Here is a 14,555-nt window from a genome sequence, read left to right as displayed (position 1 = left end):
TGGTCCATGGCCTGTTATGAAAAGGGTTGCACAGCAGGAGGTGAGTGGCAGGCGAGTGAGCATTACCGCCTGAGCTCAGACTCTTGTCAGATCAGTGGGGACGTTAGATTCTCATAGGAGCACAAGCCCTATTGTGAACTGTGCATGTGAGGAATCTAGATTGTGTGCTCCTTATGAGAATCTAATGCCTGATGATCTGAGGTGAACAGTTTCATTCCAAAACCATCCCCTCAACCCTCTTTGTGGAAAAATTGTCTTCCATGAAACCAGTCCCTGGTGCCAAAATGGTTGCAGACCACCGGTCTAAAGGGAACATCTAAAGGGACAAAATCAAAAGGGATTTATCGATGCTTATAACTGAGTCTTACTTTTTAAAAATATTACATAAAAATATACATAAATATTTTACTTTTCCTCTATTCCCATGATGAAGCAAAAATGATAAACTGAAACAAATCAGGCAATTCTGTCTCTATCAACAGACCTCCAAAAGTGATGTTGGGAGAAGTATAAATACAGTAAAGAAAAAAGGAAGAGGCTAAGGGCCAAAAAGTACATAACACTTACTTGCAAAATTTAAACAAAATCTTTTCAAACACCAAAACTGGTCCTGTACTGCCTAATATGGTAAGAGGCTGTCCACCAAAGAGAGAATAGGCTATCCCGGTCATGGATGCTCCAAAGAGAGATTCAATTGCACTCTGTGTAGAGATATAAATGGTTCAATTACCTAAGCTGTACAGGAGGCCATTGTAGCTAAGGAGAAGACATTTAAAATACATGGATATGTGCTTTGTGCTTCACCCTGAAAAGTCTAGCAACCCTGGGCAAGACGTGGGGTAGAAGGATGACTAAAGGGGCTGACAGCAAGAAGAAAATGCATAGTAGCAAAGGTAGGAGTGTTCTCTTCACTTTCCTATCTCACGTCTCTGTTGCCTTACAAAAGGTTTAAATGTATTCAGGATTAGTGTCTGGACAGAAACATGGCCCGGGTACATAGCAAATGGACCTCTTGTGAGACAAGAATGGAGACTAAACCTAGCTTAGGATTGGGGGCGCTGAGGGCAAGGCATCAGATGAGAACCTTTTGTAAGACTCAGAACTAGTTATTCTGAGACATTCCACTCCCAGATTACCAGTTCCACTAGCCATCCAGGAAATTCATATAAGGTGTATCTGCCAGACCATATCTCAAATCTCTCCTCAGAAAAGAATCCAAAATTAAATGCTCACTTATCTAACTATGAATCTTAAAAATGGATTATGTTTCAAAGTTCAGAGAAAAGCATAATACATACTATACGCCCTTCAGTTGCTTCTCCCAGCAGTCCTCCAAACGTGATGACAGGAGACATACACGCGCAGTAGAGAAATAGAAAAGATGCTAAGCACTGCAGGCTGAAAGCATCTCTGAAGTCACTCCAGAAGTATGGAGCTTTTCTTTTGATATCTAAAATAAGTCCCCCAAAAATCCTAAGACAGGGGGGAAAACACAATAGTGAAACCCAAATATAAAAAACACACAAGTCAAAATGCTCATTTGCTTTGTTGCCAGGTCACAGTATACGTTTTCCATCAGCAGAGGTGAGACACACATTAACCTGCTGCATTGTCTTATAACAATCTACAGGGAGGCACTGCACAACTACGTTCGTTACCTCAATTCCTAACCCAATATCGTGTCAACCACCAAAAATCCCAGGTTCTCTTAAACAAGGTTCAGAGCTGTTTACCAATCATAATCCAAATAATGAGATTCAAGGATTACTCTAATCTCTGTGCCATTTCTACGTCAACCTACTCCTCCTAAACTCAGGCCTACAACCCTCAATCATTGGCAGTATTTCTAAATGTTTAATTCCATTTAGCATAGCAGGAAGTGAGGGAGGGAGGGTTAGCTGGCTTTTGTATACTCCAGTAGTGAGCATCACCCTAGAGAGAAAAAGCAATGTTTAACCATGGCTCCAGTTACCTACTCTCTCGGCCAAAAAACAAACAAACAAAAATCCCTCACCAGATATTGTTGCAGGAAGACATCTAAATGTCCTTTTGGATGGCAGCAATACTTAGTAGAGACAGATAGGTTTCAGAGCTGTTTTCATTTTTAGAAAACTAGGAGGGAGTCCTTATAATAATAAAACTAGATAAATGTAATTTTGATCCACTATTGCGTTAACATATCCCAGCATCTGTGATTCACAAGACAATAGTGACCTTACTTGGTATAAATTCATTTACTCCAAATATATTCAAAACCATGTTGAAACACTTGAAAGATAATTATTTTGGGGGAAAAGTATTAAACTGTGAAATTATGCTTGAAATTTGAGATCTTTTTTTAAATCTATAAGAAATGAGAGCATTAATAAGTAGGTATTCTCATTTTATGAACATTTAATAACAATACGCAGACTTAACATTTGGCTACTGTAAGTTTTGCTCCATGGAATAATGATGTGATAGCAAAAATGAATAAGACTATGAATAAGTTCCTACATGAAGGTTAATGTCAGTGGTGAAAAATCTTATTATGCTCCAATATACTGCCAGCATGCTGAGTATACTTGGATCATAAAAAACTGTTTCATTTTTCTTATTTATTTTATGCATAGGAATATTCATTTGGCAGTCCTAGAATCATCTCAGAAAGGACTGTCCTTTTTAGAAATAAATTCTCCTTAGAATTTGAAATAAAAGATGTACATATTATGAATAATTAAAATATTTTACCAAGTAATTTCCCTGATCTGATTTATCTGTAATAGTTACCTATTAATAACTCTTCTACTATTATGCAGGTATAAGATCACTATATTTTCCTGTGATTGCTTCCATTAGAGAGCTATGGAGTAGGAGAGGGTTGAGAAGAATGAAACTTCAATTGAATAAAAGGACATTTGAAACTCAGAGAAGCTTGCAGAGAACCTGTGAAATATTTGTACACATAAAGATCACCTTAGGCTTCTCTACCCATGTTTGGTAAAACATATGCACTTTTTTTTATTTTAGGGATCATTTCTGAATAATTTGTTAACTTATCAAAGTCACAATTCAAAACAGATTTACTCTACCAGTCTATTTAGGCATTCATTTATGATTTATATCCCACCTAATCCCAAAAAGAATTTGAGGTGGTTATGAGCTATTAATTAGTAATTAATATTTATAGTTTTGAAAGCACTTTATATTAGACCATTGATTCTAATCAATTACTTATTAGAGCATACATTAGTCTGAATAGTTGTTATAGTACTGTGTAATAAATGTGCTTTTAGCAGTAAAAATCTAAATCCGGAAGTGGGAGTTCATTACAGAGAACAGTGCAAGAGCAGCCCAGATGTACACCAGCAACTCCAGGAGAGCAGATGAGTAATGGATACTTCAAGTCATGTCAGCAACAGAATCTGTGGAAGAACTCTGGAGAAGCGAAGATACCGGATATTGGTGACCTGGGAGGATTTAGGAAGCAGTAAGGAAAAGTGAACTTCGAAAAAAATCTAAGCTATGTGGCATGTTACACCTGAGAAAGAGAAAAAAAATACCACCAAAAATAAAAAGACAGCATTTGAAAGTATGAAAGCAAACAGAATGAGTAACAAAGCTTCCAGTGAAGGGAAAAGGAAAAAATTGTTTGAACCATCTCAAATTAGGTATCAAGCCTGAGGAAGACATTAAAGGACATTTCCTCAGAGACAACACATAGATAAAGGGAAAGAACACAGAATTAAAATGCAGAGTGCTCAGGAACTGGAAAGTCAGCTTAGAGGACACATTGCAAGCAGTACAGAAAATGGCCTTGAGGGGAGGGGAGCACCAATCCTGCAAAGCCTTTGCAACTGCCTTTAATTATAATGGAGGCTATACACATATTCCCTGAAGAGAGACCCACCCAAGGGTTTCTGATTTTCTGCTCACACATTGCTTAGAGAGAGACAAGCTGTCAAAAAAACCATGAAGCACCATTTTAAGAAATAAATTGAAGCTTTCATCTCTTCAAAGATGTGTGATTAGAAAAATAAATCATATAGCTCTTTCAAATCACAGCCATAAAAATAAAAAATACCACTATATACATCCTACTTGCATTTAATGAGATAGGGCCTACAAGACTGAGTTGTTGGTATTTAGTTTTATTTCTATCTTCAACTTGAAGCTTTCAATGGGTTCTTTTGGAAGGGTCAATTGACGGTTTTCCTTTTCATTCTAAGAATCTGAGAATGCATTTTATGCACAGCAAAATGAAAGACTAGGTAAAGTATAATGGAAGGGTGTATCCACTGTTTTAGTTTAACAGTAATGACAATCATTAGTAACTTCAGAGAAATCAAACTAATTGGCATTTTCACCCTCAAAAAGCAGGTATTAAAAGTATACAATAAATTAGATCCCAAAATAGCAATTTCTGACAGAGAAGAATGGTATGTCATTTGGTCCTTGAAGTCCCATAGAAGTGATTTTCACTAACCTTCCAGTTCGCTGGAGTTCAGGTCCACTATGTCCTCCGTGGGGCTCTGCTTCCCCATGAGCTGCTGTTCCATTTGGTACAGCAGGAATCTTCCTCTTCTCCTGTGGAGAGTTTTTTGTTCATGTGTTTTGTTTTGTTTTAATTTCAGGTGTTAATTGTAAATAATAATAACAGTTCATTTTTCCTTGAAGCAATATGCACAATAGCTGAGAACCCAGGCTCTGTACTTACTTGTTGCTTGACCTCCAGGAAGTTATTTAGCCTTTTAAAGTGTTAGTTTCTTCCTTTGTTTACTGGGGGTAACAACAGTATCTATCTTATAGTGTGACTAAGAGAATTAAATGAGGTGATGGGCACTTATTTATTCTTTCAACTAAAACTGAGTGCCTAGTGTATGCCATTCATTGTAATGAATGCTAGAGCTGCAAAGGTGGGCAAGAAAAAGCATTCTGTTAGTGAAGAGACAATAACCTTATAATATCAGGTACAGATGGGAGCTATGAAGAAAAATGAAGTAAGGGAAGGGGCAAAGAGAGAGATCAGGATGTGGGTAGGTTGGCGTGAGGAGGTGTTAAGTATGGTGGTGTTATATGCGTGGCATAGTTTAACTGTTCAAAGAACAGTAACCATCATCACTATTTTTAAAGTATATTTCTCTGTGTAATTCCAGCTGGTGTTTTTCTACCCAGTAAATAGTTTACAATATAGGTCTTTCTAACTCATAGAGTGCCAAAGACTGTTGTAAAAGGAGGCTTCTAATTTAACCAATGACAAATTAGTAGAGATTCAGGTAAGTATTGTTTTCCCATGGTCTATTCCACCTGCTTTTGTTGGTGAATATGATTTCTTAAAAAATCAGAAAGTTCTACCTAAAATCCTACCTATGGTGATCTTAGAGCACACCAATGTGTTCAAAAGCACTTCAAAGGATAATAGGAAAAATCTTAAGTGGTGAAATTATGATTTTTACTTGACCACCATTCCAAAATAGAATTAGTGTAAACATGAAAAACAAAAGTGACTTATAAACTGATCTCACTTACCATGAGACATTTAGATAGAATGATACAGGTTTAAAACATAAAAAAGGTTTTGAAAAATGCTCAATATAAGAAAGTTTATTGCTTAATATTTTAACAATTTTCCCAGGCAAATGGATGGACGCAGTAAGACTAAAGTTCAAAGATAAAAGAGAAGCATCTGTCAACTGATGAAGGAACTGTCTTTACAGGTAAATAGGATACATTAATAAAGGGATTTAAGAGTTTCCCTCAATACCTACTTCCCAATCACCTAGGAAAACAATTCATAGCTTTCACAGGTCTCAGAAAGCAAGCATTATTATGTGGTCTTCTGGGAAAATACTACTGACTAGATAAATTAACTCTATTTTATAATGACAAAACTAACAGAAGGTGATGTTTTGGGAGCCAAGTAAAGAACATATATTAAGGAAAAGGGAGTCATCAACTCTTAAATGCTGTTCATTGATAGATTAGATAAAATGCAGGCTGAGAATTGACCATGGGACTTAGCATGGTGGAGATCATTGTTCTCGTATGTATTTTAGTGAAATGGTAGGGGCAAAAGCCTCTTGGAGTGAATGTTAAAAGAGAATTGGAGGAGAGTAACTGGAGACAAGTAGCACAGAGAACTCTTCTGTGGCATTTTGTTATAAAAGGGAATGAATAAGAGTGGCAGGCTGGGTAGTGGTATCAAGAGAGTTCTTTTATTTAAGATTGGTAAATTTAATAGTATTGTATGCTAATAAAAGTGATAAAATACAGAAAAAAAGATTTGATGATATAGAAGAGAAAGAGGAGAATTGGTAGAGTTGTGCTCTTGAGTAGATGTGAAGAGATAGGTTCTTTCTAGTGCACAAGTAGAAGGCTGACTTTGGCTATTTCATCAATAGTAATGAACAGGAAGGCAGAGTATGTGGATGCATGTAGCAATCTATAGAAGTTCTTTTTTGATTGTTTCAAATTTCTTAGGGAAATAAAAGGCACATCAGCATATGAGAGTGAGGGTCAGAAAGGATGTGCTGAAGGCTTGAGGAGAGAAGAATAAGTGTGAAATAGTCATCAAGTGAGAATGATTGGACTAGGAAAGTGTAGTATGATGAACCTGCAACACAAAGGGCTCACTTGAGGTATGTGGTCATGAATTTATGTGAGACCAGTTAGTGTGGTTACATGTTTTCCTTCAGCTTCAGCTTCATCAGTGCGGTACAGAGTAAAGTGTTGGATTCTCACAGGGTTGTGGTTTTGCCAAGCAAGTACACGACATGAGAGAAGAGCAAATAAGTTGAGGGTACACAAAAGGGAGTGATTTTAATGACTGATGCAAAGTTCTAATGAACATTTTCAGGGTTATCCCTGGAGGTGACAGGTTATTCTTCTCTTAACTGAAAGGGAAAAAATATTTAAAATGCTGGGATTTGCACATTTCAAATGAATAAAAAAGATGGAAATGATCCCAATGGTGAAAAAATTTGAAAGAGTATGAGGTCAGAATGTTTAATGTATATTAACTCATTTCACTCCGTCTAATAGAAAACATAGCCTCATGCTATCTATTATTCAATTACAACATATATTTTTAAAACATGAATGTTGAAAAGAAGCATAGAGCATATCTGTAATTTCAAATTTGTTGTATAGAACTATGCTGTCTAATATGATAGCCACAAACTACATATGTCTATTTACATTTAAGGTAATTAAAATGAAAAATTCTGATCTTTAGTTACAATGGCAACATTTCTAATGCTTACTAGTGGCTTGATTACTGGATAGCATAGACGTAGAATATTTCCATTATTGCAGAAAACTCTGTTGGACAGTGCTGATACAGAACATCAACAGAGAGGTTAAAACATTTGTTCAAGGTCATACATATAGATAATTGCAGAACTCGGATGCTTTGATTCTTAATTTGATGTTCTTTCTATGACTGCCTCTCAATACCCAGAATCCAATAATTAATTCGATTTTAAAGGGTGTCATAAAATCATAAACAATATTGGCCTCCCATCACTCAACTTGCCTCAAAAACATTATTGTTCACAAAGGTGTTTTCAAAAACACTTAACTTCAATGTTTCAATAGCTAATGGGTATTACAGTGAATTTTAAAGCCTCATTCTGAATGTATTAATATTTTGCTGCATTTCTCCAAATAACATTAATTAAAGAGTTTCTACATACTCAGGAAGCATTATATTGCCTTTTCTAATATCATTAGTACAAAGATGTATTCTACAAGTACAGAAATGAGACAATCTATAAACCCTACAATTAATTATTAGGCAACTTTTTATTTTAATAGTAGATCAACTGAAATATGTGGTAGCAGTTACATAATCACAAAATGGTAAGTTTTGAGAAAAGGAAATAGTCTTTAATAATTATGAAATGATTTCAAAATGAAAATATAAAAATGAGGTATCCATATAGTTTCTTTAAATTGACAGTGAAATTGAGATACCCTTTTTAAGTACTCATGGTTGAGTGGTACAACTGCTCATTTGCCCACCTCTGGCAAAGCAGGAAAATTTCTAATTCCAGGGCTGGGTCAATTAGACCATCTGCCGCTTCCAATAGGGTAGCAGAGTCAGGCAAGGCTGAACTCCACAGGGCAAGGGCCAAAGGCAAGACTAAGTACACAACAATTTGGGAGGGTTGTGGGAGGCAGATTCAGTAGGCATAGAGGTGGCAGTATGAGGAGTGAGCTTAACAAATATTTGGTCATCACTCTTAATACTCATGCCTGCAATTTAAAAAATGACCCTAAAAAATAGCAATGCTTTATATTTCTATCTTTCTGGATTGTATGATGGGTAAAATATACATTAGATGTTCATAAACAAAATTTAAAAAATCTTTATATCATACATTCACAAAAAAGCAATACAAATATAAGAATTATAATTTTAAAATCTTCCCAATATTTCCTGTGATTAGCAGTAATAAATATGGAGTTTTCTATATAATATGATTAAGTCATGTCTTTGAATTTTCCTAATGCTTGCCAATTTCAAAGTGATGTATCAAAACATACAAGGACAGTAATGCGCTTTCTCTTAGGCCATATTTAATGTTGTTATTAAAATTTTAATATTCCTCTTGGATAATATGTTTTAAGTAGGGGCTAAAATCTTTCCAGGCATATGGCACTGTTTGATTAGTAGGTTGTCATCAAACTGCCAAGTTTCTCAGTAATGTGTGTTAGGTAGTACTAAGAAAGATCTTGTAACTTCATGCCCCTTCTGCCTTAGAGGCTATCCTTTAAATCATTTGAATCTTCTTGATGGGTTATGCTATTGTAAAACATGCATTTATGAGCATGGAATGTTCTTCCATTTGTTTGTATCCTCTTTTATTTCATTGAGCAGTGGTTTGTAGTTCTCCTTGAAGAGGTCCTTCACGTCCCTTGTAAGTTGGATTCCTAGGTATTTTATTCTCTCATGGATAGGAAGAATCAATATCGTGAAAATGGCCATACTGCCCAAGGTAATTTATAGATTCAATGCCAGCCCCATCAAGCTACCAGTGACTTTCTTCACAGAATTGGAAAAAAACTACTTTAAAGTTCATATGGAACTAAAAAAGAGCCTGCATCACCAAGTCAATCCTAAGCCAAAAGAACAAAGCTGGAGGCATCACACTACCTGACTTCAAACTATACTACAAGGCTACAGTAACCAAAACAGCATGGTACTGGTACCAAAACAGAGATATAGATCAATGGAACAGAACAGAGCCCTCAGAAATAACGCTGCATATCTACAACTATCTGATCTTTGACAAACCTGACAAAAACAAGCAATGGGGAAAGGATTCCCTATTTAATAAATGGTGCTGGGAAAACTGGCTAGCCATATGTAGAAAGCTGAAAGTGGATCCCTTCCTTACACCTCAGGCAAAAATTAATTCAAGATGGATTAAAGACTTAAATGTTAGACCTAAAACCATAAAAACCCTAGAAGAAAACCTAGGCATTACCATTCAGGACATAGGCATGGGCAAGGACTTCATGTCTAAAACACCAAAAGCAATGGCAACAAAAGCCAAAATTGACAAATGGGATCTAATTAAACTAAAGAGCTTCTGCACAGCAAAAGAAACTACCATCAGAGTGAACAGGCAACCTACAAAATGGAAGAAAATTTTCACAACCTACTCATCTGACAAAGGGCTAATATCCAGAACCTACAATGAACTCAAACAAATTTACAAGAAAAAAACAAACAACCCCATCAAAAAGTGGGCAAAGGATATGAACAGACACTTCTTAAAAGAAGACATTTATGCAGCCAAAAGACACATGAAAAAATGCTCATCATCACTGGTCATCAGAGAAATGCAAATCAAAAACACAGTGAGATACCATCTCACACCAGTTAGAATGGTGATCATTAAAAAGTCAGGAAACAACAGGTGCTGGAGAGGATGTGCAGAAATAGGAACACTTTTACAGTGTTGGTGGGACTGTAAACTAGTTCAACCCTTGTGGAAGTCAGTGTGGCGATTCCTCAGGGATCTAGAACTAGAAATACCATTTGACCCAGCCATCCCATTACTGGGTATATACCCAAAGGACTATAAATCATGCTGCCATAAAGACACATGCACATGTATGTTTATTGCGGCACTATTCACAATAGCAAAGACTTGGAACCAACCCAAATGTCCAACAATGATAGACTGGATTAAGAAAATGGGGCACATATACACCATGGAATACTATGCAGCCATAAAAATGATGAGTTCACATCCTTTGTAGGGACATGGATGAAATTGGAAATCATCATTCTCAGTAAACTATCGCAAGGGCAAAAAACCAAACACCACATGTTCTCACTCATAGATAGGAATTGAACAATGAGAACACATGGACACAGGAAGGGGAACATCACACTCTGGGGACTGTTGTGGAGTGGGGGGAGGGGGGAGGGATAGCATTAGGAGATATACCTAATGCTAAATGACGAGTTAATGGGTGCAGCACACCAGCATGGCACATGTATACATATGTAACTAGCCGGCACATTGTGCACATGTACCCTAAAACTTAAAGTATAATAATAATAAAATAAATAAATAAATAAATAAAATAAAATAAAACATGCATTTAAAAGACAAAAAAAAATTCAATTTCAAAGAATGTCTTCAAATATACATACCTGGGAAGGAACATTTTTGGGAGGCTCTATTCGAATGCTTGGATCCCATTCTCCAGGAGGGAGAACAGTAACCTGATCCAGAAACTCATCAATTCCTGATACCAAGTCATTACGATCTTTAGCTTTATAGGCAACATCATGAAATACCTTTAGAAGAAATAGAAATATTATTTATAGCTTAAAAATAATTATAAAATATTAATGTGTTCAGTGTTTTCAACTCAGTTATCTCACATGTGATTATAACAATTTGAAGAAATAGACAGCTCTGACTCTAAAGAAGTTTATGTTGTAAAATATTATAATTTATTTTATGGATCCATATAGGTAACTATTTTTCTTATGATGTCAGATGAATGTTGAAATTTCTAGAGGGAAGGAGTAAGGGAAAGAAAAAGGAGGATGAAAGGAAGCTCATTAAACTAGAATTAGGCAAAAGTTATTTATGTATGGGAAAATCAGTTTCTGGAGGAAGCCTTTGCTTACAAATAGAAATAAAAATTTGTAAAATGTGTTGGAAATTTCAGCAGTATTTATACCCTGGCATAAATAAATTAATTTAAAAGGTTAATTTTGTTTCCATTTTGAAAATAATACTAAGGTTATGTTAGTATTTTCTGGATATATAGTCATTCCTCAGTATCTTTGAGGGATTGGTTCCAGGATTCCCTGCAGATACCAAAATCTATGGATACTTGAGTTCCTTACATAAAATGGAGTGGTATTTGCACATAACCTATGCATATACTCCTATATTTAGAGGATCCCCTACTTTCTATGGTTTCTCTTACAATCTTTTGACTTTATGATGGTGCAAAAGTGACATGCATTGAGTAGGCTCCTCAACTTTCAGTGGGGTTAAGTCTGGATAAACCTATCATAAGTTGAAAATATCATAAGTCAAAAACATAGTTTCCACTTATGATATTTTCAATGGGGGGACATAATCCCCCATTGAAAGTTGAGGAGCATCTGTACTTTAAATCATTTCTAGATTATTATAATATCTATACAATGTATATGCTATATATTTATTATACTGTATAATTTTTATGCATATTATTTTTATTGTAACATTGTTATTTTTTATTGTCCCCCCCTCGAATATTTTTGATTTTTGTTTTTAGAGGCAGGGTCTCACTCTGTCATGCAGGCTGGAATGCAGTGGCACAGTCATACCTCACTGCAGCCTTGAACTCCTAGGCTTAAGCTCCTGCTTAAGCTCCTGTCTTCCAAGTAGCTGGGACTACAGGTGTGTACCACAAAACCTGGCTAATTTTTAAAAAATTTCTTGTAGAGACAGAGTCTTGCTATGTTGCCTGGGCTGGTCTTGAACTCCTGGCCCCAAACCATCCTCCACCTTGGCCTCCCAAAGTGCTGGGATTATAGGTGTGAGCTACTGCACCCTGACTTTTCAAATATTTTTGATTTGCAGTTAGTTAAGTTCAAGGGTGCAGAACCTGAAGATACAGAGGGCCAACTATATATTATATCTACACAGTGCAGAAAGTTCATTTCCACTCAAAGTATGAGTTACATTTCATACTTGTCCCTTCCACCTCCCCTCCGCACACATGTGCTATGTTAGCCATTTAGGCTGTTCACAGATATTCCAGGTTTTCTTCTAGACCACATGGTAAGATTGTACTTCTTTGCCTTCTTTGCTATTTGGATCAGGTATATTCTACTTGGGTGTACATATGTCAGTTTTGAATGGAAGTTATGAGTACCAATGTGTGACTTATCACATTGCTTTTTTTCTGGTTTAGTGACTGAGAAAACACAGGTCCAGCTAGAGCTTCTATAAGCACAGGGGGCCTAAGTGATTATAATGAGCAGAGCCTCTCTCCTACATCTTGATGAAAGTTTAGCATGATAGAAATAAATCCTTATTGTTTTAAGCCATTAATATTTTAGTTGGTTATTCCTGCAGCATAACCTAATTTATCTTATCATACTCAGGAATTACGTACTTAATATAGTAAGTGGGGAAAATAAAAATAAGGATGAAGAGAAAAAATTAATTTACACTGAATATAATATAAATATTTCTGACACTTTAAATTTTACTTGGGATGAAATGATACAAGTATTTGAGATTAAGGACTCCTATATTATTCTTTATGCTGGCCTAAATTACAGTGACCAAATGTCCCAAAATTGCCAGGAAAATTCTGCTTTCAAATATTCTATTTTACTTTTAGACCATTTGTTTCCATTTCTGGTTTGATACTCAATACAAACTGCTAAGTAATAATGATCATTTTAGAAAGCTTTTTATTGACTTTCCAACTAAGAACACGTCACAAAACATTATTGGTCTGATAAACAGACTTTGCTTAGGATAATACGAAAATGTTAAAGATCCATTAATGGTTTAGTTGTATTTTGAGAAAGAGATTTTTTTTAATATTAAAAATATAGATTTCCATGCCACAAGCTTCTTATAAAGATGGCTACATGGCCCTGAGACCTAACTGGAATACTTAAGGATTGCAAAAGTTCTTAGTCCTCAATGAGAGTTTAGCAACCCTACTCTTTTCCTGTTAGTAGCAACTCTCTTGAAATCTTTCTTAATTTGATCACATTTAATTAGAAAACTGCTTTGCGAGATCACATTATTCTATACCGTGTTTTAGGTAGATGAATGTCCAAATTCATCCAGGACAACAGATTTCCTGTTATTTTAAAGCTCCCTAAAGGTATAGATGCCATAATTTGTTTAATTTTAAATCATATAGTACTTACTATTGTTTCCCTATCACCAATGTTATCAATAGCTTAATTATTTTACATTCCTCTTCTACCTTCTCTTTGTCAAGCTAACTTAACAGTCTGATTTCAGTGTATATCAGACTTCCCTGACCCCCTTCTCAAACTAGACTATTGGTTCAATTAAAAAAAGAAAGTTTTTCAGCACAAAAAGGCTGAAAATTCCAAAAACCAGAATGCTGCTTCTCCTCCAAAGGATCACAACTCCTTGCCAGCAAGGGAACAAAACTGGATGGAGAATGAGTTTGACGAATTGACAGAAGTAGGCTTCAGAAGGTGGTTAATAACAAACTCCTCCAAGCTAAAGGAGCATGTTCTAACCCAATGCAAGGAAGCTAAGAACCTTGAAGAAAGGTTAGAGGAATTGCTAACTAGAATAACCAGCTAGAGAAGAATATAAATGACCTGATGGAGCTGAAAAACACAACACAAGAACTTCGTGAAGCATACAGAAGTATTGATAGCTGAATCAATCAAGCGGAAGAAAGGATATTAGAGAGTGAAGATCTACTTAATAAAATAAAGCAAGAAGACAAGATTAGAGAAAAAATAATGAAAAGGAATGAACAATGCCTCCAAGAAATATGGGACCATGTGAATAGACCAAACCTACGTTTGATTGGTGTACCTGAAAGTGGTGGGGAGAATAGGACCAAGTTGGAAAACATTCTTCAAGATATTATCCAGGAGAACTTCCCCAACCTAGCAAGGCAAGCCAATATTCAAATTCAGGAAATACAGAGAACACCACAAAGATACTCCTCGAGAAGAGAAACCCCAAAACACAAAATCATCAGATTCACCAAGGTTGAAATGAAGGGAAAAATGTTAAGGGCAGCCAGAAAGAAAGGTCGGGTTACCTACAAAGGGAACCCCATCAGACTAACAGTGGATCTCTCTGCAGAAACCCAACATGCCAGAAGAGAGTGGGGGCCAATATTCAACATTCTTAAAGAAAAGAAATTTCAACCCAGAATTTCATATCCAGCCAAACTAAGCTTCATAAGCAAAGGAGAAATAAAATCCTTTACAGACAAGCAAATGCTGAGAGATTTTGTCACTACCAGGCCTGCCTTACAAGAGCTCCTGAAGGAAGCACTAAATATGGAAAGGAAAAACAGGTACCCTCCAC

At 35.9% G+C, this 14,555-nt stretch overlaps 1 protein-coding gene and 1 long non-coding RNA gene across 30 annotated transcripts in view; one reads left to right on the top strand and one right to left on the bottom strand.

The window, feature by feature from the left end:
- SLC4A10 (solute carrier family 4 member 10) overlaps positions 1-14,555 on the bottom strand; it is a 360,855-nt gene that overhangs the window by 79,794 nt on the left and 266,506 nt on the right. For 26 of the 27 annotated variants that reach the window (NM_001354461.2, NM_001354447.2, NM_001354441.2 and 23 more), the window contains 4 exons: positions 10,652-10,798; positions 4,466-4,566; positions 1,299-1,473; positions 568-701 (listed from right to left, as the gene is read on the bottom strand). In NM_001354461.2, the coding sequence (NP_001341390.1) occupies positions 568-701; positions 1,299-1,473; positions 4,466-4,566; positions 10,652-10,798 (557 nt within the window). Of the gene's footprint in view, positions 1-567; positions 702-1,298; positions 1,474-3,312; positions 4,377-4,465; positions 4,567-10,651; positions 10,799-14,555 lie in introns of those variants that run through there. The other variant, XM_047445156.1, reaches the window with a different exon arrangement.
- LOC105373722 (uncharacterized) overlaps positions 1-14,555 on the top strand; it is a 29,568-nt gene that overhangs the window by 7,713 nt on the left and 7,300 nt on the right. For 2 of the 3 annotated variants that reach the window (XR_001739758.2, XR_001739757.2), the window contains exon 3: positions 5,615-5,696. This is a non-coding gene — a long non-coding RNA (uncharacterized LOC105373722). Of the gene's footprint in view, positions 1-3,383; positions 3,470-5,614; positions 5,697-14,555 lie in introns of those variants that run through there. The other variant, XR_923532.3, reaches the window with a different exon arrangement.

The sequence above is a fragment of the Homo sapiens genome, chromosome 2 (genome assembly GCF_000001405.40).
Source record: "Homo sapiens chromosome 2, GRCh38.p14 Primary Assembly".
NCBI lineage: Eukaryota > Metazoa > Chordata > Mammalia > Primates > Hominidae > Homo > Homo sapiens.
This window is presented reverse-complemented; position numbering and strand designations above follow the sequence as displayed.